General features: G+C 39.5%; 1 protein-coding gene across 20 annotated transcripts in view; it reads right to left on the reverse strand.

Annotated features, from left to right (window-relative positions):
- The window catches only part of AK9 (adenylate kinase 9), a 198,348-nt gene that overhangs the window by 32,267 nt on the left and 141,292 nt on the right, over positions 1–24,789 (reverse strand). For 17 of the 20 annotated variants that reach the window (XR_942337.3, XM_047418304.1, NM_001145128.3 and 14 more), the window contains 4 exons: positions 20,746–21,006; positions 16,926–17,050; positions 8,130–8,349; positions 3,890–3,952 (listed from right to left, as the gene is read on the reverse strand). Coding sequence is in view for 19 of the 20 variants with exons in the window: in XM_047418304.1 (XP_047274260.1) it covers positions 3,890–3,952; positions 8,130–8,349; positions 16,926–17,050; positions 20,746–21,006 (669 nt within the window). In the remaining variant the exon portion in view is untranslated. Of the gene's footprint in view, positions 1–2,506; positions 3,631–3,889; positions 3,953–8,129; positions 8,350–16,925; positions 17,051–20,745; positions 21,007–21,431; positions 21,598–24,789 lie in introns of those variants that run through there. The other 3 variants (XM_047418307.1, XM_017010388.3, XM_011535559.4) reach the window with 2 other exon arrangements.

The following is a 24,789-nucleotide window of genomic DNA, read 5'->3' on the forward strand; positions in this document are numbered from 1 at the left end:
GTCATTTCCCCATTGCTTGTTATTGTCGACCTTGTCGAAGATCAGATGATTGTAGGTGTGCAGCTTTATTTCTGAGTTCCATTGCTCTATGTATCTGTTTTTGTACCAGTACCATGCTGTTTTGGTTCTGGACAAATATTTTATGACAAAGTCTCCAAAAGCAATTGCAACAGAAACAAAAATTGACAAGTGGGACCTAATTAAACTAAAGAGCTTTTTCACGCAAAAGAAACTATCAACAGAAGAAACAGTCAACCAACAGAATGGGAGAAAATATTTGCAAACTATGCGTACAACATAAGTCTAATATCCAGAATCTATAAGGAACTTAAACAAATCAACAAGCCCAAAACAACAACCCCATTAAAAAATGGGCACAAGACATAAACAGACACTTAAAAGAAAACATAGACACAGCCAACGAGCATATGAAAAAATGCTCAATGTCACTACTCATTAGAGAAATGCAAATCGAAAACACAGTGGTGTCTTATCTCATGCCAGTCAGAATGACTATTATTGAAAAGTCAGAAAATAACAGATGTTAGTGAGGTTATGAAGAAAAGGAAATGTTGGTGGGAATGTAAATTAGTTCAGCCACTGTGAAAAGCAGTTTGGAGATTTATCAAAGCACTTAGAACTACCATTTAACTCAGCAATCCCATTAATGGGTATACACCCAAAGGAATAGAAATCGTTCTACTAAAAAGTCACATGCACACATGCAGTGCACTACTCACAATAGCAAAGACATGCAATCAACCTAGATGCCCATTAATGGTGGACTGGATAAAGAAAATGTGGTACATATATACCATGGAATACCATGCAGCCATAAAAAAGAATGAATTCATATCTTTTGCAGCAACATGGATGGAGCTGGAGTCCATTATCCCAAGCAAGTTAACACAGGAACAGAAAACCAACTACTGCATGTTCTCATAAGTGGGAGCTAAACTTTGAGTGCACATGGACACAAAGAGGAGAACAAAAGACACTGGGGCCTACTTGAGGGTAGAGGGTAGGAGGAGAGTGAGGGTCAAAACACTACCTATTGAGTACTATGCTCACTACCTGGGTGACAAAATTATTTGTACACCAAACCCCGGCAACATGCAATTTACCCACGTAACAAACCTGCACATGTACCCTCTGAACCTAAAATACAAATTGAAAAAGAAAAAATAAAATAAAAATTTTACACACTTTTCAAAAGAAAAAAAGGCAATAGATAATTAAAATGAATTTCTAAAATATATTCAAATAATCCAAGGAAGGCCGGAAAAGGGGAACAGAGAAACAGAAAACAGAGGGGACAAGCAGAAAGCAAATAAATTCATAGTCTCAGAGAGACAGGACTAGATTTGGGGTAAGCTGTGTTACAACTGTCTACTGGTAGGGGAAGACAGGGGAAGCTACATCTGGACAGAAGCTTGTGCCAGGAGAGCGATGGATTTTTTTATGATTAGAGAAGTGACGGAAGAGGAAAGCATGAAGAAATGGAAGAAGAAGTAAAAGACCTGTCAGAGTTCTCAGGGCTTCCTGACACAGGTGCTCATTATCTAGATCCCAAATTTCTTTATTATGCTGTGGTGTGACTGACACTGCCTGTGGAGCAGCTATTGTGAACTACTTGGTTTTCAGTGCTTTGAATCTGTCTCCAACCCGTATACCCATGCACACTTTTGCTTGCTGTTTCAACCTGAAGAGCCCTCTGTGTATCAACCTTTGGGTCTAAACACTCTGTCTTCTCCCTAGAGGATCCTGGAGATGGTTTTGGCTTGGTACTTGGTCCAGACCCTTGTTTCAACCTCATGTGGACCCTGACTTGGGCCTTCCCTCAGTACCTATGAACAATGTGTCTCTATTACTCTTCTCCGAGGCGTAGTCTGACACTGTGCTCACTTGCTCCCCGGGCTTCCTGTCCTGGCCCTCCCTTGCTTTCACCTCCCAGTGGCTACCCAACACCTAATGGAGACCCAGAGACGGAGCCAGGGGACAGGAAGAGAGGGAGGATTACAAGCAAGGCCAGGGGCTGCCTTACAGTCACATTCTGAGACTACAGGTCCACAAGATGGCGACATTTCCCTATGAAATTAATGCAAGTAATGACTGGGATATTGAAGTGATTTCTAATGTTGGAAATGTCCCATTCAGTGCTAAAAAGACAGTAAAGACAATGATTTTGTTTAGGGCAAGAAGACAAACCTGGGAAGGGCTTTCTCCGCCAGGGATTCCCCAGTTAGTCTGAAAAAGGCAAGTCACAGAACTGCATATTCTGCATAAGAAGGCAAATGTGAGAAACCCCCCTGGATCTGTTCATGGAAGTGAGCTCCAGTATAGATGTGGAGTCGGGATGGATGCCACTTAGGGTGGCACACTGACCAATAGTAACAAGCACACTAACTCATCCCTGAGATGCTATATTTTGTCTACTTTATTGTCTGAGTCAGTAGCAGGACATATAAAATTTCCATCAAAGGAGTTGGAAAAAAAAAACCCCACATACAGTTTTAATTTTTTATTCATCAAACATCTCAGGAGTTGTGCTGCGAGTTTGTTTGTATCAGTTTTGTGGGATACACAGACAGTTTTACAAACATGAAGTCTCAGGAGAGCTGACTTACAAAATCCTATTTAACCTCTACATAGAATATTGAATTTCCGAATGAAAAATCAGAAGAAATCACACCATTCTAATGTTAACAAATGAAAAAATTATAAAGAACATTTAAAGTTTATCCTGAAAATTAATTCTTAAGAAAAGAAGATTTAACTGAAGAGTAGCAAAGGGAAATTAAATTATTATTAATTAGGGAAACTAAATGTATTAATTTTTCCCATTTTACAATAAAAAGCCCTAGGTTTACAGAGGCTAAGTGACTTACTCAATGTTATACAACCTCAGCGAAACAACTGAAGTTGAATGTCACATGTGTCAGCACTCCACCAGGCACTGGAGAGCAGTGAACAAAGTCAGTGAGAACTGGAGAAGGGATACTGCGTAGGTGTGTTTAACTGCAAAGCCTGGACTCCTTCACTGCTGAAACATTTGAAGTGATTCAGAAGGGGACCACTAGGGACTCCCAAGGGCTTAAAGTAGTTAACTGTACTTAATTCCAGGTTAGGACATCTTTTTGATCCTAAACATTAGCATGACACCTTAAACAGAGCAAACTTTCAGAACATGTTTGATGAGAGAAATGAGCATTATAATGAGGCTACGATTTCTGTAAGTTTTGCTCATGGCTGATTTGCCAGTATTTGAAACAGTGTCAGACACAAAGCTCAATTAATGTTTGCTGATGGACTGAATGAATAAATGAATGAAAATCGAGGCAAATAATTAAGAGGAGGGTTCTTATTCTTACATGGTGCCATAATTTTCTCAGTCCAATGGTTTTTTCTTATCTACTTTTGGTTGTGAATATTTTGTTTTGACAAAGCAACAATTACTTTGGCCCCGCTTCTGCAATGCTTTGTGCCTGCAGTTGCAGTTGCAGTTGCACTGTACAATATCAGCAGTCCTCTGTACGGAAGTCCAGCATATTCACACCAGGGTGACATGTGGTTGCACTTGTAGCAAGTTGTATTTTCTGATATTCCTCTTTTTCTCTTCTCCTTGTTTGGCTGGACATTTTTATACAGATGGAAATCAGGTTACAAGAGGGTCAGCCTTGAAAAGCTGTTACAAGAGTGTCTTAAGCCAGAAGGCAAAGGCTGGGTGTGATGGCTCATGCCTGTAATCCTAGCACTTTGAGAGGCTGAGGTGGGAGGATCCCTTGAGCCCAGGAGTTCGAGGTTGCAGTGAGCTATGATTGTGCCACTGTACCCTGCCCTGGGCAACAGAGTGAGACCCTGTTTTGAAAAAAAAAACAAAACTACTTACCTCCCTCCTTTTTTTATCTCTCTCTAATATAAGTTCAGCCCTTCTTTTAGCAATCGTATCAACCTGTTAAAGAAAGAGACATTAAAAAATTGTAATGGAGAATGATAAAAGTGGCTTTCTCTGTATTCATATATTTTTATATAAAGTAGGAATAACGTTTGGGCAGAAGCACAGTGAACTTTGCAGGAAAGGATGTGATGGCGGTAATCATGTTGCTTGGCTTGCATCCTTGTACCTCTGAACCTCTTGATCAGCTATTTTCTTCCAGAGGGATAAACAGCACTTGGGGTCAGTTACTCTTTCCACAAAGTTTAGAACTCCTTTTCAAAATTTATCGCTCATTTGTTTGTTTGGTTTTGGTGGCAGGAAATAGGGAAATACGTGGAGGCAATTCACTGAAAATGGTAAGCTTTTAACACACTATTAAATAGCCTACCATAGCGATCCCCAACCATTTTGGCATGAGGGACTGGTTTCACAGAAGACAATTTTCCATGGACCGAAGATGGGGATTGTTTTGGGATGACTCAAGCTCATGACATTTATTGTGCACTTTATTTCTATTATTATTACATTGTAATATCCAAAGAAATAATTTTACAACTCACCATAATGTAGAATCAGTGGGGGCCCTAAACTTGTTTTCCTGCAACTACATGGTCCCATCTGGAGGTGATGGGAGATAGTGACAGATCATCAGGCATTAGATTCTCATGAGTGTGCAACCTAGATCCCTTGCATGCACAATTAACAATACGGTTTGTGCTCCTATAAGAATCTAATGTGCTGCTGATCTGACCAGAGGCAGAGCTCAGGTAGTAATGTGAGTGATGGGGAGCGGCTGTAAATACAGATGAAGCTTCACTCACTTGCCCACTCACTGCTCACCTCCTGCTGTGTGGCCTGGTTCCTCATAGGCCACAGACTGGTATCCATCCATGGCCCAAGGGTTGGGAACCCCTGGCCTAACAAACCTAAAAATACATATGTCCACATGGGGAAAGTGTATGTGGTTGGCAGACAGTCACAGACTTGATATATAGATAGTCCTCCAACCTTCCCAGAATCCTCTAAATCTAACACAATGGATCCCCTTTGATAGGTCTCCAAGGTCTCCATGAAAACTAATCTGCTTTCTTCAGGTTTGGGGGCTTATTGGCTCAGGACTCTGTAAACTGGTCTCCCTTTAAATACCGGGAAGATAGAGTGGTGCCTGAGGACATGCTCTGGGGCTCTGGTGCAGATGAGCAGAACCTGGGTGCTTTCATCTGGTTGCTATTGAGTACACATTCCTGAGAACTTATGCCTTGTAGGCATGCAAGAATTATTTGTAGATAGAATTATAAAACTGAACTGAATAAAATTCATTTGGTTTATGAGCCCCAGAAAGATTCTATGGCTCTTAACTGGTGAGAATTTACAAAAACTTCCATTATTTCATTTTATAAAAACATATTTTTACCATAGGTTCTTTAAATGTGGAGTTGTGAAAACATAGTCTCTTTTGTGTTTTCATAAAACATAAAGACCACTGTATTACCAAAAAATTGCAAACTATACACAATAGCACTCATACACATTCCGAGTCTACTTTTCCTCTGCTCCTTTCACTCAAATAGTCAGTGAGGTTTAACTAATTATTGTACATCTCCCAGATGGCAGCACTGTCCTGAGCACTATAATATATATTCTTTCACTTTCTGCTCAAAACATATCTGCAAGGCATTACTCCACTCTAGAGGTGAGTTAACAGAAATTCAGAGTTTAACTCACGTAATATCACACAATTAGTGTGAGGATGCTTTTAGAAACTACCAGATATGGTCTCGATCTGTTGACCTGGCCAACATGGTGAAACCCCGTCTATACTAAAAATACAAAAATTAGCTGGGCATGGTGGTGCATGCCTGTAGTCCCAGCTACTTGGGAGGCTGAGGCAGGAGAATCGCTTGAACCCAAGTGGCGGAGGTTGCAATGAGCTGAGATTGCGCCACTGCATTCTAGCCTAGCGATAGAGTCAGACTCCGTCTCAAAAGAAAAGAAAAGAAAAGAAAAGAAACTACCAGATACGGGATTGCCAAAGCATACAATGTGGTGGCTGCTGCAGAGAAGGGTTTGTATTTGAGAAATACTGAGAAAAAAATTAGAGAATTTGGGATAAGATTGAGAATTCAGACCTTAATGGGGTGGCTTGATCAAAATGGAGTTTTAGGAAAATTCGTGTGGAGGTAGTCAGAAGGATGGTCTGGAAGGCAGAGAGATGAAGCCAGGGAGGACAATTAGGTCACTGTAGGAGCGCTGGTGTCAGCCAAGAAAGCTCTGAACTGAGATAGAGTTATTGGGTGAGGAAAGGAAGGGGCAAATGCCTGGGGTGATAAACTAGCTCCAGAAACCTGCTGCTTTCCTATTCTAGGTCCCTAAAATTCTTAAAGCATGTGATATCTAGGATGTGGCTTCATTGCCCTACAGCTGTTCTGTCCAGTACAACAGCCACTAGCTGTGTGTGGCTATTTATATTAAAATTAAACAAAATTAAACATTTGATTTTTCAGTCACACTAATCACATTTTAAGTGCTCAACAGCCACTGCGGCTACTGGCTCCTGTACAGGACAGCACAGATCTAGGACATTTCTGTCATCACGGAGATTTCTGTGTTAGCACTGGCCTAGATATTCCAGGCCCCACAGTGAGACAACATATGAATGTGCTTTGGTAGGCTCTCATCTTTGGCTCTTTCTTTTCCATTCTCATACTTACAGAATCTCTCGCATAGCAGACAGTTTGGCCTGAACGTCATCAAGAACAGTGTGGAGCCACGTATCTTCCCACGTCTCCCTCCTCACATCCATAGTTCTCAGATGGCTAAGAACTCTGCCTGTCTTGATACTGTGCAGACCAGTGATGGCCTGGGACATGCAACCTTAGTGTGGTGAGGGAGAGGAATGGATGGCAATGGCCTTGAAGGGATTTCCTCTGGCTAACCCCAAGATGAAAAGAATTTGAAAACGATGTCTGAGCAATGAAAGAGGAACTGCTTGGTTTTAACACTTTGGCAGTCTGTAATTTAATTGGTGTTAAGATGTGAGAATGTATTACATAATTTAAGTCTTAGTATCTCAGAATTGAAATTAATAGATGAGCTCTCTGACACATTTTTCCATTCTCCCCTGCCAAATGTTCGCCTAGTTTATGCTTATTTATTGGCAAGGAGCTCCCTGCCTTCAGTCTTGATTCTTTTTGAAATGTCTTGCTAAGAATGAAATATACTTTCCCTGTACCTTCCTCCTACCAATGGTAGTTCTTTCCCTTGAGGCCACGTGGAGTACCTCCAAGCTCTCTTCGGTATGAAAGCCCTTCAGACGTTTAACACTGCTCTCATGCTTCATCTGGGCCATCCTAGGTCCAGACTCAAAAGCCCATTCTTTCTACCTCAGCCTAGACTTACAGGTTTGCCTTTTCAGGGCATGTCATGTAAATGGAATTGTACGGGATGCACTCCTGTTTTGCCTGGCTTCTGTCACTCAGCACAATGGTTTTGATTTTTATCCATGTTACAGGATGTATCAATAGGTCATTCCTTCTTAATGCTGAGTAGTTTTTCAATTCTAAGGATATACCACCTTTTATTTTTCTATTCATCAGCTGATGATTTGGGTTGTTTCTACTTTCTGGTTATTATGAATAATGGTTATGAACATTCACATATAACTTTTTATGTGGACATATATTTTCATTTCTGTTAGATACATTCCCAGGAGTGGAATTGCTGGTTCCCTGTGACACTTTTGAACATCTTATGGAATACTCCTCAGAATGTAGGTTTAGGTACAATGTTCTAACCTAATTTGGTCTGGTTTCACTATAGGCTCACATGTCTTTGATGGATGGTGTCATCGCTCCAGGGGCAGCGAAAAAGACCTCTGAAATTTTACTTCTTTGTGTTTCAAATCTCTGTTTGTTACCTCTTCCACTTTGCTCCCATGTCTGGGAGAGGGAAGTCTTGGCAGTACCACTACCTTTCATTTGCCATAAAGAGAGAAGCATTAACACATTGATCACCACAAAAGCCTGAAATAACTCTTAACTCTTATTATAGTCTTAATATTCGATGAAAAATATTTCATGCTTACTGTGGTATTAAAATTAGAATACTATATTTTTTGTGAAGATCACTTTATAATAGATCACTAAACAGATGCTGAACAGATTTATTCAATGCATTTTTGCTAGATACATACCCTGATTTTTGCCTTCATGTCTTTGATCAGTTTCTTCCTTTCTAATTTCTTCTTTTGTTTTAGTTTCCACTTTTCAATTTGGGCAGGAAGGAGGCGATCAAAAATATCTTGATCATCAACTTGTATAAAAACAGCTGCATCTGGGAAAAATCCACGATCTCCCAAAAACTGGGCCTCTTCTGGATATCGTGGGAAACCATCTAATATAAAACCTGTGGAACTGGTGGAAATTTTCATAATTTACTTTATTTCATTAAAATGTTGTAATGGATGTGTTCATTAATTTGACTGTAATGATCATTATACAAGGTATATTAAGTCATCATTACACCTTGAATATATACATTCTTTACTTGTCAATGACATATTTTAAAAGAAAAAAATACAGTAAAAAAAAGTATTGATAAATATCAACTATCTGTATGTAATGAATAGTTTAAAAATTTACTCTTTTATTTCTTTTAATATTTCTAGTTGTATATGTGACATTTCTTTTTCAAAATATATCAAGTTGGATTAAAATTATAATATTCCATACATATATTTATAATATAAAATTGTAGTCAATCAGTTTACAGACAATTACTATTAACTGAAAGTTTACTAAAAGTTGTGAGAAGACCATAGGAAAAGAGAAAATAAGTTCTCTGTTTGGGAGCGGTGCCCAGCCTAATGAATGTGGTATTCTTTATTTAAAGAGTACACCTGGCCAGCCCAATTGTAGTGGGAGCCCTCACCTTTGGCAGTTTTTCTTCTAACAGTGCTTCCTTTCATGAGACAACTCATACCCACCTCCCTGGGTCTCCTTGTAACTGATGACAATTGTTAATGTATGTATCCTGGTTCCTATGGGCAAGATGATTATATTCAAATGGGATTGTCAAACTTGCCCACGTGTGATGAGACTTTAAGAATCAGGAAAATATGCCATTGCACTCCAGCCTGGGAAACAAGAGTGAAACTCCTTCTCAAAAAAAAAAAAGAAAAAAAAAGAATCAGGATAATAACTGGAATGTTAATTAGAGCACTTATTTTAATTTATTTTATTTTATTTTATTTATTTTAATTTATTTTAATTAGAGAGCACTTATAAAACAACCAAGCTTTGAAAACTTGGCTTTGTTTAATTGAGAGAGTCAATACTGGTTCCTGTAGAATTTGTTTCTCCTGCTTATCTGAAATTTGGTTTGTTTTTAATATTTATATTTAAATATATATTTTCTTCTTAATACAAATAGGACTTTCATGAACATTTGACAGTTTCAGCCTTCAAAGTTGTTAATTCAAAAATGTGAATTTTCCTTTCTTAGTAAGGAAGCAAATTTCCATATATTGGCCATAATATATATATATATTTTTATTTAATTATACTTTAAGTTCTAGGGTACATGTGCACAACGTGCAGGTTTGTTACATATGTATACATGTGCCATGTCATGTTGGTGTGCTGCACCCATTAACTCGTCATTTACATTAGGTATATCTCCTAATGCTATCCCTCCCCCACTCCCCACCCCACAACAGGCCCCAGTGTGTGATACTCCCCTTCCTGTGTCCAAATGTTCTCATTGTTCAATTCCCACCTATGAGTGAGAATATGCGGTGTTTGGTTTTTTGTCCTCACGATAGTTTGCTGAGAATGATGGTTTCCAGCTTCATCCATGTCCCTACAAAGGACATGAACTCATCCTTTTTAATGGCTGCATAGTATTCCATGGTGTATATGTGCAACATTTTCTTAATCCAGTCTATCATTGATGGACATTTGGTTTGGTTCCAAGTCTTTGCTATTGTGAATAGTGCTGCAATAAACATACGTGTGCATGTGGCATTATAGCAGCATGATTTATAATCCTTTGGGTATATACCCAGTAATGGGATGGCTGGGTCAAATGGTATTTCTAGTTCTAGATCCTTGAGGAATCGCCACACTGTCTTCCACAATGGTTGAACTAGTTTACAGTCTCACCAACAGTGTAAAAGCATTCCTATTTCTCCACATCCTCTCCAGCACCTGTTGTTTCCTGACCTTTTAATGATCGCCATTCTAACTGGTGTGAGATGGTAACTCATTGTTGTTTTGATCTGCATTTCTCTGACGGTCAGTGATGATGAGCATTTTTTCATGTGTTTTTTGGCTGCATAAATGTCTTCGTTTGAGAAGTGTCTGTTCGTATCCTTTGCCCAGTTGTTGACAGGGCTGTTTGCTTTTTTCTTGTAAATTTGTTTGAGTTCTTTGTAGATTCTGGATATTAGCCCTTTGTCAGACAAGTAGATTGGAAAAATTTTCTCCCATTCTGTAGGTTGCCTGTTCACTCTGATGGTAGTTTCTTTTGCTGTCAGAAGTTCTTTAGTTTAATTAGATCCCATTTGTCAATTTTGGCTTTTGTTGCCATTGCTTTTGGTGTTTTAGACATGAAGTCCTTGCCCATGCCTGTGTCCTGAATGGTATTGCCTAGGTTTCCTTCTAGGGTTTTTATGGTTTTAGGTCTAACATTTAAGTCTTTAATCCATCTTGAATTAATTTTTGTATAAGATGTAAAGAAGGGATCCAGTTTCAGCTTTCTACATATGGCTAGCCAGTTTTCCCAGCACCATTTATTAAATAGGGAATCCTTTCCCCATTTCTTGTTTTTGTCAGGTTTTTCAAAGATCAGATGGTTGTAGATGTGTGGTATTACCTCTGAGGGCTCTGTTGTGTTCCATTGGTCTATATGTCTGTTTTGGTACCAGTACCATGTTGTTTTGGTTACTGTAGCCTTGTAGTATAGTTTGAAGTCAGGTAGCGTGATGCCTCCAGCTTTGTTCTTTTGGCTTAGGATTAACTTGGCAATGCAGGCTCTTTTTTGGTTCCATATGAACTTTAAGATAGTTTTTTTCCACTTCTGTGAAGAAAGTCATTGGTAGCTTGATGGGGATGGCACTGAATCTATAAATTACCTTGGGCAATATGGCCATTTTCATGATATTGATTCTTCCTATCCATGAGCATGGAATGTTCTTCCATTTGTTTGTGTCCTCTTTTATTTAGTTGAGCAGTGGTTTGTAGTTCTCCTTGAAGAGGTCCTTCACATCCCTTGTAAGTTGGATTCCTAGGTATTTTATTCTCTTTGAAGCAATTGTGAATGGGAGTTCACTCATGATTTGGCTCTCTGTCTGTTATTGGTGTATAAGAATGCCTGTGATTTCTGCACATTGACTTTGTATCCTGAGACTTTGCTGAAGTTGCTTATCAGCTTAAGGAGATTTGGGGCTGAGATGATGGGGTTTTCTAAATACACAATCATGTAATCTGCAAACAGGGACAATTTGACTTCCTCTTTTCCTAACTGAATACCATTTATTTCTTTCTCCTGCCTGATTTCCCTGGCCAGAACTTCCAACACTATGTTGAATAGGAGTGGTGAGAGAGGGCATCCCTGTCTTGTGCCAGTTTTCAAAGGGAATGCTTCCAGTTTTTGCCCATTCAGTATGATATTGGCTGTGGGTTTGTCACAAATAGCTCTTATTATTTTGAGATACGTCCCATCAATACCTAATTTATTTAGAGTGTTTAGCATGAAGGGCTGTTGAATTTTGTGAAAGGCCTTTTCTGCATCTATTGAGATAACCATCTGGTTTTTGTCTTTGGTTCTGCTTATATGCTGGTTTGTGTTTATTGATTTGCGTATGTTGAACCAGCCTTGCATCCTAGGGATGAAGCCCACTTGATCATGGTGCATAAGCTTTTTGATGTGCTGTTGGATTCTGTTTGCCAGTATTTTACTGAGGATTTTTGCATCAATGTTCATCAGGGATATTGGTCTAAAACTCTCTTTTTTTGTTGTGTCTCTGCCAGGCTTTGGTATCAGGATGATGTTGGCCTCATAAAATGAGTTAGGGAGGATTCCCTCTTTTTCTATTGATTGGAATAGTTTCAGAAGGATTGGTACCAGCTCCTCCTTCTACCTCTGGTAGAATTTGGCTGTGAATCCGTCTGGTCCTGGACTTTTTTTGGTTGGTAGGCTATTAATTCTTGCCTCAATTTCAGAGCCTGTTATTGGGTGATTCAGGGATTCAACTTCTTCCTAGTTTAGTCTTGAGAGGTTCTATGTGTCCAGGAATTTATCCATTTCTTCTAGACTTTCTAGTTTATTTGCGTAGAGGTGTTTATAGTATTCTCTGATGGTAGTTTGCATTTCTGTGGGATTGGTGGTGATATCCCCTTTATCATTTTTTATTGCATCTATTTGATTCTTCTCTCTTTTCTTCTTCATTAGTCTTGCTAGCAGTCTATCAATTTTGTTGATCTTTTCAAAAAAAGCAGCTCTTGGATTCACTGATTTTTTGAAGGGTTTTTTGTGTCCTATCTCTTTCAGTTCTGACCTGATCTTAGTTATTTCTTGCCTTCTGCTAGCTTTTCAATGTGTTTGCTCTTGCTTCTCTAGTTCTTTAAATTGTGATGATAGGGTGTCAATTTTAGATCTTGCCTGCTTTCTCTTGTGGGCATTTAGTGCTATAAATTTCCCTCTACACACTGCTTTAAATGTGTCCCAGAGATTCTGGTATGTTGTGTCTTTGTTCTCATTGGTTTCAAAGAACATCTTTATTTCTGCTTTCATTTTGTTATGTACCCAGTAGTCATTCAGGAGCAGGTTGTTCAGTTTCCATGCAGTTGAGCGGTTTTGAGTGAGTTTCTTATTCCTGAGTTCTAGTTTGATTGCACTGTAGTCTGAGAGACAGTTTGTTATAATTTCTGTTCTTTTACATTTGCTGAGGAGTTCTTTACTTCCAACTATGTGGTCAATTTTGGAATAAGTGTGATGTGGTGCTGAGAAGAATGTATATTCTGTTGATTTGGGGTGGAGAGCTCTGTAGATGTCTATTAGGTCCACTTGGTGTAGAGCTGAGTTCAATTCCTGGATATCCTTGTGAACTTTCTGTCTCGTTGATCTGTCTAATGTTGATAGTGAGGTGTTAAAGTCTCCCATTATTACTGTGTGGGAGTCTAAGCCTCTTTGTAGGTCTCTAAGGACTTGCTTTATGAATCTGGGTGCTCCTGTATTGGGTGCATATATATTTAGGATAGTTAGCTCTTCTTGTTGAATTGATCCCTTTACCATTATGTAATGGCCTTCTTTGACTCTTTTGATCTTTGTTGGTTGAAAGTCTGTTTTATCAGAGACTAGGATTGCAACATCTGCCTTTTTTTGTTTTCCATTTTCTTGGTAGATCTTCCTCCATCCCTTTATTTTGAGCCTATGTGTGTCTCTGCACGTGAGATGGGTCTCCTGAATACAGCACACTGATGGGTCTTGACTCTTTATCCAATTTGCCAGTCTGTGTCTTTTAATTGGAGCATTTAGCCCATTTACATTTAAGGTTAATATTGTTATGTGTGAATTTGATCCTGTCATTATGATATTAGCTGGTTATTTTGCTCGTTAGTTGATGCAGTTTCTTCCTAGCATCAATGATCTTTACAATTTGGCATGTTTTGCAGTGGCTGGTACCGGTTGTTCCTTTCCATGTTTAGTGCTTCCTTCAGGAGCTCTTGTAGGGCAGGCCTGGTGGTGACAAAATCTCTCAGCATTTGCTTGTCTGTAAAGGATTTTATTTCTCCTTCAGTTATGAAGCTTAGTTTGGCTGGATATGAAATTCTGGGTTGAAAATTCTTTTCTTTAAGAATGTTGAATATTGGCCCCCACTCTCTTCTGGCTTGTAGAGTTTCTGCCGAGAGATCCGCTGTTAGTCTGGTGGGCTTCCCTTTTTGGTTAACCCGACCTTTCTCTCTGGCTGCCCTTAAAATTTTCTCCTTCATTTCAACTTTGGTGAATCTGACAATTATGTGTCTTGGAGTTGCTCTTCTCGAGGAGTATCTTTGTGGCGTTCTCTGTATTTCCTGAATTTGAATGTTGGCCTGCCTTGCTAGGTTGGGGAAATTCTCCTGGATAATATCCTGCAGTGTTTTCCAACTTGGTTCCATTCTCCCTGTCACTTTCAGGTACACCAATCAGACGTAGATTTGGTCTTTTCACATAGTCCCATATTTCTTGGAGGCTTTGTTCATTTCTTTTTACTCTTTTTTCTCTAATCTTCTCTTCTCGCTTCATTTCATTCATTTGATCTTCAATCACTGATACCCTTTCTTCCAGTTGATCGAATTGGCTACTGAAGCTTGTGCATTCATCACGTAGTTCTCGTGCCATGGTTTTCAGCTTCATCAGGTCCTTTAAGGAGTTCTCTACACTGGTTATTCTAGTTAGCCATTCGTCTAATCTTTTTTCAAAGTTTTCAGCTTCTTTGCTATGGGTTCAAACTTCCTCCTTTAGCTCGGAGAAGTTTGATCATCTCAAGCCTTCTTCTCTCAACTTGTCAAAGTCATTCTCTGTCCAGCTTTGTTCCATTGCTGGCAAGGAGCTGTGTTCCTTTGGAGGAGGAGAGGCGCTCTGATTTTTAGAATTTTCAGCTTTTCTGCTCTGTTTTTTCCCCATCTTTGTGGTTTTATCTACCTTTGGTCTTTGATGATGGTGACGTACAGATGGGGTTTTGGTGTGGATGTCCTTTCTGTTTGTTAGTTTTCCTTTTAACAGTTAGGACCCTCAGCTGTAGATTTGTTGGAGTTTGCTGGGGGTCCACTCTAGATCCTGTTTGCCTGGGTATCAGCAGTGGAGGCTGCAGTACAGTGAATATTGCTGAACAGTAAATGTTGCTCCCTGATTGTTCCTGTGGAAGCTTCATCTCAGAGGGGTATCTGGCCATGTGAGGTGTCATACTGCCCCTACTGGGGGGTGCCTCCCAGTTAGGGTACTCGGGGGTCAGGGACCCACTTGAGGAGGCAGTCTGTCTGTTCTCAGATCTCAAACTCTGTGCTGGGAGAACCACTACTCTCTTCAAAGCTGTCAGACAGGGATATTTAAGTCTGCAGAGGTTTCTGCTGCCTTTTGTTTGGCTATGCCCTGCACCCAGAGGTGGAGTCTACAGATGCAGTCAGGCCTCCTTGAGCTGCAGTGTGCTCCACCCAGTTAGAGCTTCCTGGCCGCTTTGTTTACCTACTGCAGCCTCAGCAATGGTGGGTGCCCCTCCCCCAGCCTCGCTGCCATGTTGCAATTTGATCTCAGACTGCTGTGTTAGCAATGAGTGAGGCTCTGTGGGTGTGGGACCCTCTGAGTCAGGCACAGGATACAATCTCCTGGTGTGCTGTTTGCTAAGACCATTGGAAAAGCACAGTATTAGGGTGGGAGTGACCCGATTTTCCAGGTGCCATCTGTCACAGCTTCCCGTGGCTAGGAAAGGGAATTCCCTGACCCCTTGCAGTTCCCTGGTGAGGTGATGACTTGCCCTGCTTTGGCTCACGCTCAGTGGGCTGCACCCACTGTCCTGCACCCACTGTCTGACAAGCCCCATTGAGATGAACCTGGTACCTCAGTTGGAAATTCAGAAATCACCTGTCCTCTCCGTCGCTCACACTGGGAGCTGTAGACTTGAGCTATTTCCATGTTTTTTTCTTTAGAGGTGCCTTCAGTCTGGTCTCTCTGGCAGGGTCAATTTCATTCCTACTGTTCCTGCTGTCATTTCTTTGTCAATGACTTCCAAATCTTTACCTCTACACCCAACCTCTCTTCTGAGTTTTGATTCCAAATTTTCAAAAAGTTGTGGAGTTTCTCCATCTGAATGCCCTTCTGGAATTATACACACATTATACTGTCAAAAATCATACTGTTAGCCTTCCAAACTGCTCTTCCTTCTGACCCACTAGTACTCATGTGCTACCTGTTAGAGACCTTTGGCCCTCTCCCCTGGCTCCCTCTTCCTTCTTACATTTAATAGCTAAGTCCTGGCATGTCCTCCTCTGTACTCACACTTCTATTTCTGTAATTCTCCCTTAGTTCAAGCCCCTTAGTATATCTCTCTGGGACTAATGCAATAACCTTTTCAAAATGTGTTATTTTCCCCTTGATTATAAAAGCAGTAAGTCACACTATAGAAAAATGGAAAAAATAGAGAAAGGCCTTAATAAAAAGGCAAAAATTATCCATAATCCCATATCTCAGAGGTTATTAAAAGTTTATTTCTTTCTAGTTGGTTCTTCATGTGTGCATTCTCTATTATATTATAGTTTTACATCTTTTTAACTTTATGTAATAACATTTCTTATGCTATTACACATTATTCATTATAATAATTTTTTTGTTTTTGAGATGGAGTTTCACTATTGTTGCCCAGGCTGGAGTGCAATGGCACTGTCTCGGCTCACTGCAACCTCTGTCTCCCGGGTTCAAGTGATTCTCCTGCCTAAGCCTCCGGAGTAGCTGGGATTACAGGCATGTGCCACCACACCCAGCTAATCTTGTATTTTTAGTAGAGACAGAGTTTCTCCATGTTGGTCAGGCTGGTCTCGAACTCCCAACCTCAGGTGATCCACCCGCCTTGGCCTCCCAAAGTTTTGGGATTACAGGCATGAGCCACTGCACCCGGCCCTACAATAAATTTTAATGGTGCATAATATTTAGCTATTTTGTTTAGGTTTTTACAGTTTTACCACAAATGCACTTTAGAATAACCTGAGGGTACTGAAAAATATCCCAGGCTCACACTCCTAGAGTTTCAAATTCAATTATTTTGGTGTGGGGTCCTGCAATCGGTATTTTTAAAGACTCTACAGATGTTTTTAATGTGTATCTCAAGTGAAAAATCACCAGCTTACATGAATATAAAGGAGAAAGTTCTTAAATGTATGTTAAACTACATTTTTAACTTTTAAGAATAAAACAAATAAAAGCAAATAAATGTACAATTCTATATAAATTAAGATACCGTATTGGTTCCTTAAGCCACCACTCAGAAAGAATTACTTCAAGAATTTCAGGAGGCAAGGGCTCATTTTCCATTAGACTTGATTTGATTACTTCTTCTTCTTCTGTAAGTTGTACTTCTGGAAGCTAAAAACAAAAATCAGAAAACAAAACAAGTTTTAAAACTCTATGCTAATAATTGCATGTTCTCACTCATATGTGAAAGTTAAAGAGGAGGACCTCATGGAGGTGGAGAGTAGAATGAAAGTTACCACAGGCAGGGAAGGGTGTGTGGTAGGGATAGAGGACATGAAGAGAGGCAGGATAATGGGTACAAACATACAGTTAGATAGAAGGTGTAAGTTCTAATGTTCAATAGCACAGAGGGAAACTATAGTTAGTAACAATGTATTGTGTATTTCAGGATAACTAGAAGAGAGGGCTTGAAATGCTCCCAACACATAGCAATGATAAGTGCTCAAGGTGATGGATATCATAAATACCCTGACTTGATCCTTATACATTCTATGTGTGTAACAAAATATCACAGGTACCCCATAAATATGTACAAATACCAATTTAGAAAACCCCAAAATCTATATTCATAAACAATATGGTATTACGTAGCTGATTAGAATGAGACCTGTTATTTTCTCTGAGGTCTTTTTTTATAGTGTTGCTTATAAACATTTAAAAATTTGGGCTATTTTCTATAAACCAATTATTTAATGTGGTTAGAAATACAGGTTGTACAAAAGTAATTGCGGTTTTTGCTTTAAAAGTAATGGCAAAAACACAACCACTTTTGCACCAACCTATAGTAAATAATATTTACTACAGCTAAGATAAATTATAAGTAATAATATGATTGATTTTCATACATGGCCTTGGGGTCATATCTCATTACTTTTTGCTAAACCTTTTTCAATTTATCACACACACGCCTATAAGGCTTAACTGATTTTTGTTATTTATATTATAATTTTACAGTATTATCTCTCCAACCTAGATCCTGATTATGGGATAAGCCAAACAGGCAGCCATCTGAAATACAAACTAGAAGAGGATTATAATGTAATAACAAATAGAAAGCATTGTGATAATTAACTGAGGTCAAGTCTCTCTAAAGTAGGATCACCCTTGAATGGATAGTAAAAAACAACAGTTCTTACAAAAATGAAACATTTTTGTTGAGTACTTTTGTCATCCAAAATTCTAAAACTGAATAGCTAAGGTATGATAAACTGCTGCTTACCGGGAAGCAGGATTAATTTTATTACCTAAAAATAAAATCCCTTAATTGCTTTCTGACAAGTTATTCAGAAAACAATAAAAGAAAACCAAACAAAAAACTGTAGACAAGCAGGAGATATTTGTTGCACTTTAAAATCTAGACTTGTTAAGTTAAAAAATCTGGACTGACATACTTTTTTCTTTTTTTGAGATGGAGTCTTGCTCTGTTGCCCAGGTTGGAGCACAGCAGTGCGATCTTGGCTCACTGCAACCTCCGCCTCCTGGGTTCAAGTGATTCTCCTGCCTTAGCCTACTGAGTAGCTGGCATTACAGGCATGTGTCACCACGCCTGGCTAATTTTTGTACTTTTAGTAGAGACGGGGTTTCACCACGTTGGCCAGGCTGGTCTTGAACTCCTGACCTCAAGTGATCTGCCTGCCTCCACCTCCCAAAGTGCTGGGATTACAGGCGTGAGCGACCGTGCCTGTCCCGATATACATTTTTTAAATTAATAGGATATCAGTTTCTCCTGAACGCTACTAAATATAGCTGAAAAACATTTAAAGAATATGTCTGAAGGCCAGGCACAGGTGGCTCACGCCTGTAATCCCAGCATTTTGGGAGGCCAAGGTGAGTGGATCACTTGAAGTCTGGAGTTTGAGACCAACCTGGGCAACATGATGAAATCCCATCTATACAAAAAATACAAAAATTACCCTGGCATGGTGGTGCATGCCTGCAGTCCCAGCTACTTAGGAGGCTGAGGTGAGAGGATCGCTTGAGCCCAGGAGTCAGAGGTTGCAGTGAGCTGAGATCACACCACTGCACTCTGGCCTGGGCAAGAGAGGGAGATGCTGTCTCAAAAAGAAAAAAGAATATGTCTGATCAGGTACTTCATTACCTATTAGAACACCATATGTCACTCACTATCCAACCCTGCTTCAACTTTGAGTGTTACATATAACTGCATTTGGATCATTTGAGAACAAATGGCCTATCTATATCAGAAATGGTTAAAATGTGAGTTAGAATGAAGAACTTTCATTGTATAACTCCAGATAGAAGCCATGTAAGAGGTTAATACGGTTTGGATCTGTTTCCCCGCCCAAATCTCATGTGGAATTGCAATCCCCAATGCTGGAGGTGGGGTCTGGTGAGAGGTGATTGGATCATGGGGGTGGTTTCTCATGAATGGTTCAGCACCATTACCCCCTTGGTACTGTCATGACGGTAGTGAGTGAGTGCTCATGAGATCCAGTGGTTTAAAAGTGTGTGGCACCTCCCACCTCACTCTCTTTCTCCTGCTCTGGCCATGTGATGTGTCTGCTCTCCCTTCACCTTCTGCCATGATTGTAAGTTTTCTAAGGCCTCTCCAGAAGCCAAGCAGATGCCACTATGCTTCCTGTATGGCCTGAAGAATTGCGAGCCAGTTAAACCTATTTTCTTTAAAAATTACCCAATCTCAGGTATTTCTTTATAGCAACGAGAGAACAGATTAATACAGTACAAACTTTCTGGTAAGACATCATTAGAAATTAATATTTTGAGATCTCCACTAAGGCTGGGGCAGATTTTTATGCTATTTGATAGAAATCAGAGAACACAATAATGGAAAAGTTTATTGTCTAAGTCAGATATACCAAATATCATACTTCCAAATAAATGCTATAAAACAGCCTTGTCAAGGAAAATTTTTCTGAATTTTTTTGGAGTCATATAAAACTCAGTACTTTATATTCTAGAAGAGCTGGAAGATTTGTATTTAGCATATGATGAATATGACTCTTTAAATGACTTTTATGGGCTAATTATTTTCTCTTCTTAGAAACTTTATAGAGTTTTATACTACCACTACCCCAGATTAACACCAGTAAGCACAGCTGTCTGCATAGATTAGTACTGCCAGGCACAGTGGCTCATGCCTATAATCCCAGCACTTTGGGAGGTCAAGGTGGGTAAATGGCTTGAGCCCAGGAATTTGAGACCAGCCTGGGCAACATAGCAAGACCCCCATCTCTACAAAAAATACCAAAACTAGCTGGGCATGGTAGTGCACACCTGTAGTCCCAGCTACTTGGGAGGCCAAGTGATATGGTTTGACTGTGACCTCACCCAAATCTCATCTTGAATTCCCACATGTTATGGGAGGGACACAGTGGGAAGTAATTGAATCATGGGGGCAGGCCTTTCCCATGCTGTTCTTGTGATAGTGAATAGTCTCACAAAATCTGATGGTTTTATAACGGGGAGTTTCCCTGCACAAGCTCTCTCTTTGCCTGCTGCCATCCACGTAAGATGTGATTTGCTCCTCCTTGCCTTCTGCCATGACTGTGAAGCCTCCCCAGCCACATGGAACTAATTGTAAGTCCATTAAATGTCTTTCTTTTGTAAATTGCCTGGTCTCGGTATGTCTTTGTCAGCAGTGTGAAAATGGACTAATACACCAAGGCAGGAGGATCACCTGAGCCCAGGGAAGTTGAGGCTTTGGTGAGCTGTGATTGTGCCACTGCCTTCCTGTCTGGGTGACAGATGGAGACCCTGTCTCAAAAACAACAACAATAACAACAGCAAAAACAAAACAAACAAAAAACAAAAAAAGAGATTACTACCTGCTTTTTTGTATTTTCTTCCTCAACTTTGACATTGGCCTGAATTGCAAGCTCTTCAAGTTCTTGTTTGGCAGCTTGCTCGTTCTCAGAATCTTCCTCAAATTCAGGTCCCACTTTCTTTTCAGTTTTGAGTAGTAGTTTTTCTTGAAGAACTTCTTCAAACTGAATGTGAAAAATGTTTAATTTTTCTGCCAACTGTCTTCCACACATAGTTTTGCCAGAGCCCTGGGGGCCGACAAGGCATATTCTTAATGGAGGAGCCTGTCACAGGGGGTGGGTCAGGGAGGGGTGGGATAAAGGGAGAGTGAAGGAAAAGCAGTTTTGAGTAATTTAGAACACATAAGACTTATTAACTGCCCTCCCTAAGATGGGGTAGGAATGATCACATCATGAACTCAAGGATGCTTAGATATTAGGATTTCAATTAACATAATTAGTTCCATCAACACTGGTCCTCAGGGAGCACCAACAACCATATATGATTATCTTGGTATCATATGCCAAAAGGCATTTAATAAAATAGAGTTTACTTATTTTTGTTTTTGACAAAAGTTTTAGTTAATACAGAATGGAAAGATACTTTCTTAACATAATAAAATAAATCTATCAAACAGAAAGCCCACTAATAATAAAAATTTACAGCCTTCTCCATTTATTACAGTAATCTCAGGACTCACATTGTGTGGATCATCCACGGGATGCTGAAACTGTCAAGAACAATGGTGAGTACTGGAATGAAGCAGCAGCTAAGTCTTCTGTGATTGTGAGGAAATACTAAGAAATTAGTAGGTGACAGCAGCAAGGAGGAACGGGGCTTCTTGATATATCCGAGTAGGATAAGCCTCAAAGGGGCTGGAGTTTTTGCAAGGGGAAGGAGAAAAATTAGAATGACATGAAATTATATAGCTGCAGCCTCACACCATACTTTTAAATCACATTTTAAACCTCTCCGTGATAAAACTACCGGATTAACACTTCACTCACCCACCAGTTAAACGTCTCGCAACTAGGGCTGTCTGGTGCTCAGACTGTATTCAGGTACCCTATGGTAGGGAAGGGAAATGTTTCTGGAAAACCCAGTTCATTTTATGCTTTGCAAAACTATGGAAATACAGTCAGGATTTCAGGATCTTATCCATATGGATTTGTGTAAAACAAGGCAATAGATCACAAACAGCAAACCAGACTAAGCGGAAATTACAGCTGAAAACAACAACAACAGAAAAGGGTAAGTGGCCACAGTCCTTAAATGACCCCCAACACCAGTGGATTGGGGCTTCTTTGTGAGGGCACAACCATCCACATACTTCAGTAGTCTCATGGGCACTATATAAAAAATTGAGGTTCATGAAAATGGCCCAAATTATACAGAAGAGCTTAGATTGTGTTCCATGTGTTCATTTTAAGAAGGCATTGATATTATCAAAAGTAATAAGGCAATATATTGTGATGTATATATCTTGCTCCAGTAATCCTATCCCAGGGAGCTATAGCATAGCACAGTAGTAAAGTAATTCAAGAAAGCCAAAACACTTATAGCCAACTCATTTTCTACAAAAGCACCAAATACGTGGAAGAAAGGATGGTCTCTTTAATATATGGTGCTGTGAAAGCTGGATATCCATATGCAGAAGAATGAAACTAGATCCTCATCTTTCACCTATACAGAAATCAACTCAAAATGGATTAAAGACCTAAATGGAAGACCTGAATATATAAAACTGCTAGAAGAAAACATTGGGGAAGTGCTACAGGACATTGGTCTGGGCAAAGATTTTTCCAGGTAAAACCTCAAAAACACAGGCAATAAAAGCAAAAATAGACACATAGGATTACATTAACCTAAAAAAACCTCTGTATCACAAAGAAAATAACATAGTAAAGAGACAACCTACAGAATAGGAGATAAGATTTGCAAAGTATCCATCCAACAAGGGATTAATAACCAGAATATATAAAGAACTCAAACAGCTCAGTAGCAAAAAAAAAAAAAAAAAAACCCAAATATTCTGATTTAACAATGGGGAAAAAAGACCTGAACAGACATTTCTCAAAAGAACACATACAAATGGACAACAGGTATATGAAAAAATGCTCAATATCACTAATCATCAGGGAAATGCAAATCAAAACCACAGTGAGATATCATCTCACCTCAATTAGAATGGCTATTATCAAAAAGACAAAAAAAATAGCAAATACTGATGAGGATGTGAAGAAAGGGGAACACTTGTACACTGTTGTGGAAATGTAAAGTAGGAAAGCCATTATGGAAAACAGTATGGAATTTTCTCAAAAATCTAAAAATATGAGGGGTCTTCGAAAAGTTGACAGAAAATGCATATTATGACAAAACTATGCATGGATTCACTTTTTTTTGCACCAAATAAACTCATATGAACTTGTTATAACATATCTGAACAGGATCTAGTTTGAGGCACTAAGAAAGATAAGACATCAGTTTGAAAACAGCCCCTATCAGAGCAACATGAGTTCTGCTAAAATTGAAGTAGGAATAAACATCAAATTTATGGTGAAGCTTGAGAAGAAGAATGGTGAAATCATTGATGCTTTATGAAAGTTTCGGGGACAATGCCCCAAAGAGATCAGCAGTTTCCAAATGGACAATTTGTTTGAAAAAAGGACAAGACAATGTTGAAGATGAAGCCTGCAGTAACAGACCATCCACTTAAATTTGTGAGGAAAAAATTTGTCTTGTTTGTGGCCTAATTGACAAGGACTGATGATTAACAGCAGAAACAATAGCCAAAACACCTAGACATCTAGGTTGGCTCAGTGTACAATTTTTCTGACTGAAAAATTAAAGTTGAAAAAAGTTTCTACTCTATGATTGCCAAAACTGTTGCACCCAGATCATCTGCTGACAAAAACAGAGCTTTCGATGGAAATTTTAAACACATGGGATCAGAATCTTGAAGCATTTGTTTGAAGAACTGTAGAGGAGATGAAACATGGCTTTATCAGTATGATCCTGAAGACAAAGCACAATCAAAGCAATGGCTACTAAGAGGTGGCAGTGGTCCAGTCAAAGCAAAAGTGGACTGGTCAAGCACAAAGGTCATGGCAACAGCTTTATTTTTTTGAGGATCAATGCATTTTCCTTGTTAAGCTTCTGGAGGGCCAAAGAGCAATAACATCTGCTTATGATGAGAGTGCTTTGAGAAAGTCAGCCAAAGCTGTAACAGAAAAATGTCCAGGGAAGATTCACCAAAGTGTCCCTCTCCACTATAACAATGCTCCACTAAAAAATGACTATTGTATAGCCATGGTAACAATAGCCACTCAAACAATTTTAAATTGGTTTAATTAATCAGGGTAAACTCACTTCAGGGAATACATTTTTGCAATCCAACCAACCAGTGTCAGCCCTCACTCTCGAAACTCAACCAATCAGGATGGACTTACCCCTATAACAATTCTCTGAGTGTGAACCAGTCAACAGCAGCATCACTAGAGTAATCTTACTTCCATAGATGTCAACCCACTTATGCCTCTGAAAGTTCACCAATCCCTGAATTCCACTCTTCTCCAAAATCCTGTAAAAGACCATCATCCTGCTCTGCTCTGAAAGACTAACCAGAATGACTGGCCTCACTATAGTAAGGAATTAATCCATCTGTGGGGTTTGTCTGTGTTTGTGTTTTGTTTTATTTTTATTTCAGCTAAAAAGGCAGATATTAAGTGCTGGTTTGACACAAGTCATTACTAAAGAAATCAAAATAGATAATTATTTTATGTTATATTCCAAAAAGTTGTTCTTTGAACTTAGATATTTTCTTTTTTTTTTTTTTTTTTTGAGACGGAGTTTCGCTCTGTCGCCCAGGCTGGAGCGCAGTGGCGCGATCTCGACTCACTGCAAGCTCCGCCTCCCGGGTTCACGCCATTCTCCTGCCTCAGCCTCCCAAGTAGCTGGGACTACAGGCGCGCGCCACCATGCCCGGCTAATTTTTGTATTTTTAGTAGAGACGGGGTTTCACCGTGTCAGCCAGGATGGTCTCGATCTCCTGACCTCGTGATCCGCCC

Source organism: Homo sapiens, chromosome 6 (assembly GCF_000001405.40).
Source record: "Homo sapiens chromosome 6, GRCh38.p14 Primary Assembly".
Classification (NCBI taxonomy): Eukaryota; Metazoa; Chordata; class Mammalia; order Primates; family Hominidae; genus Homo; species Homo sapiens.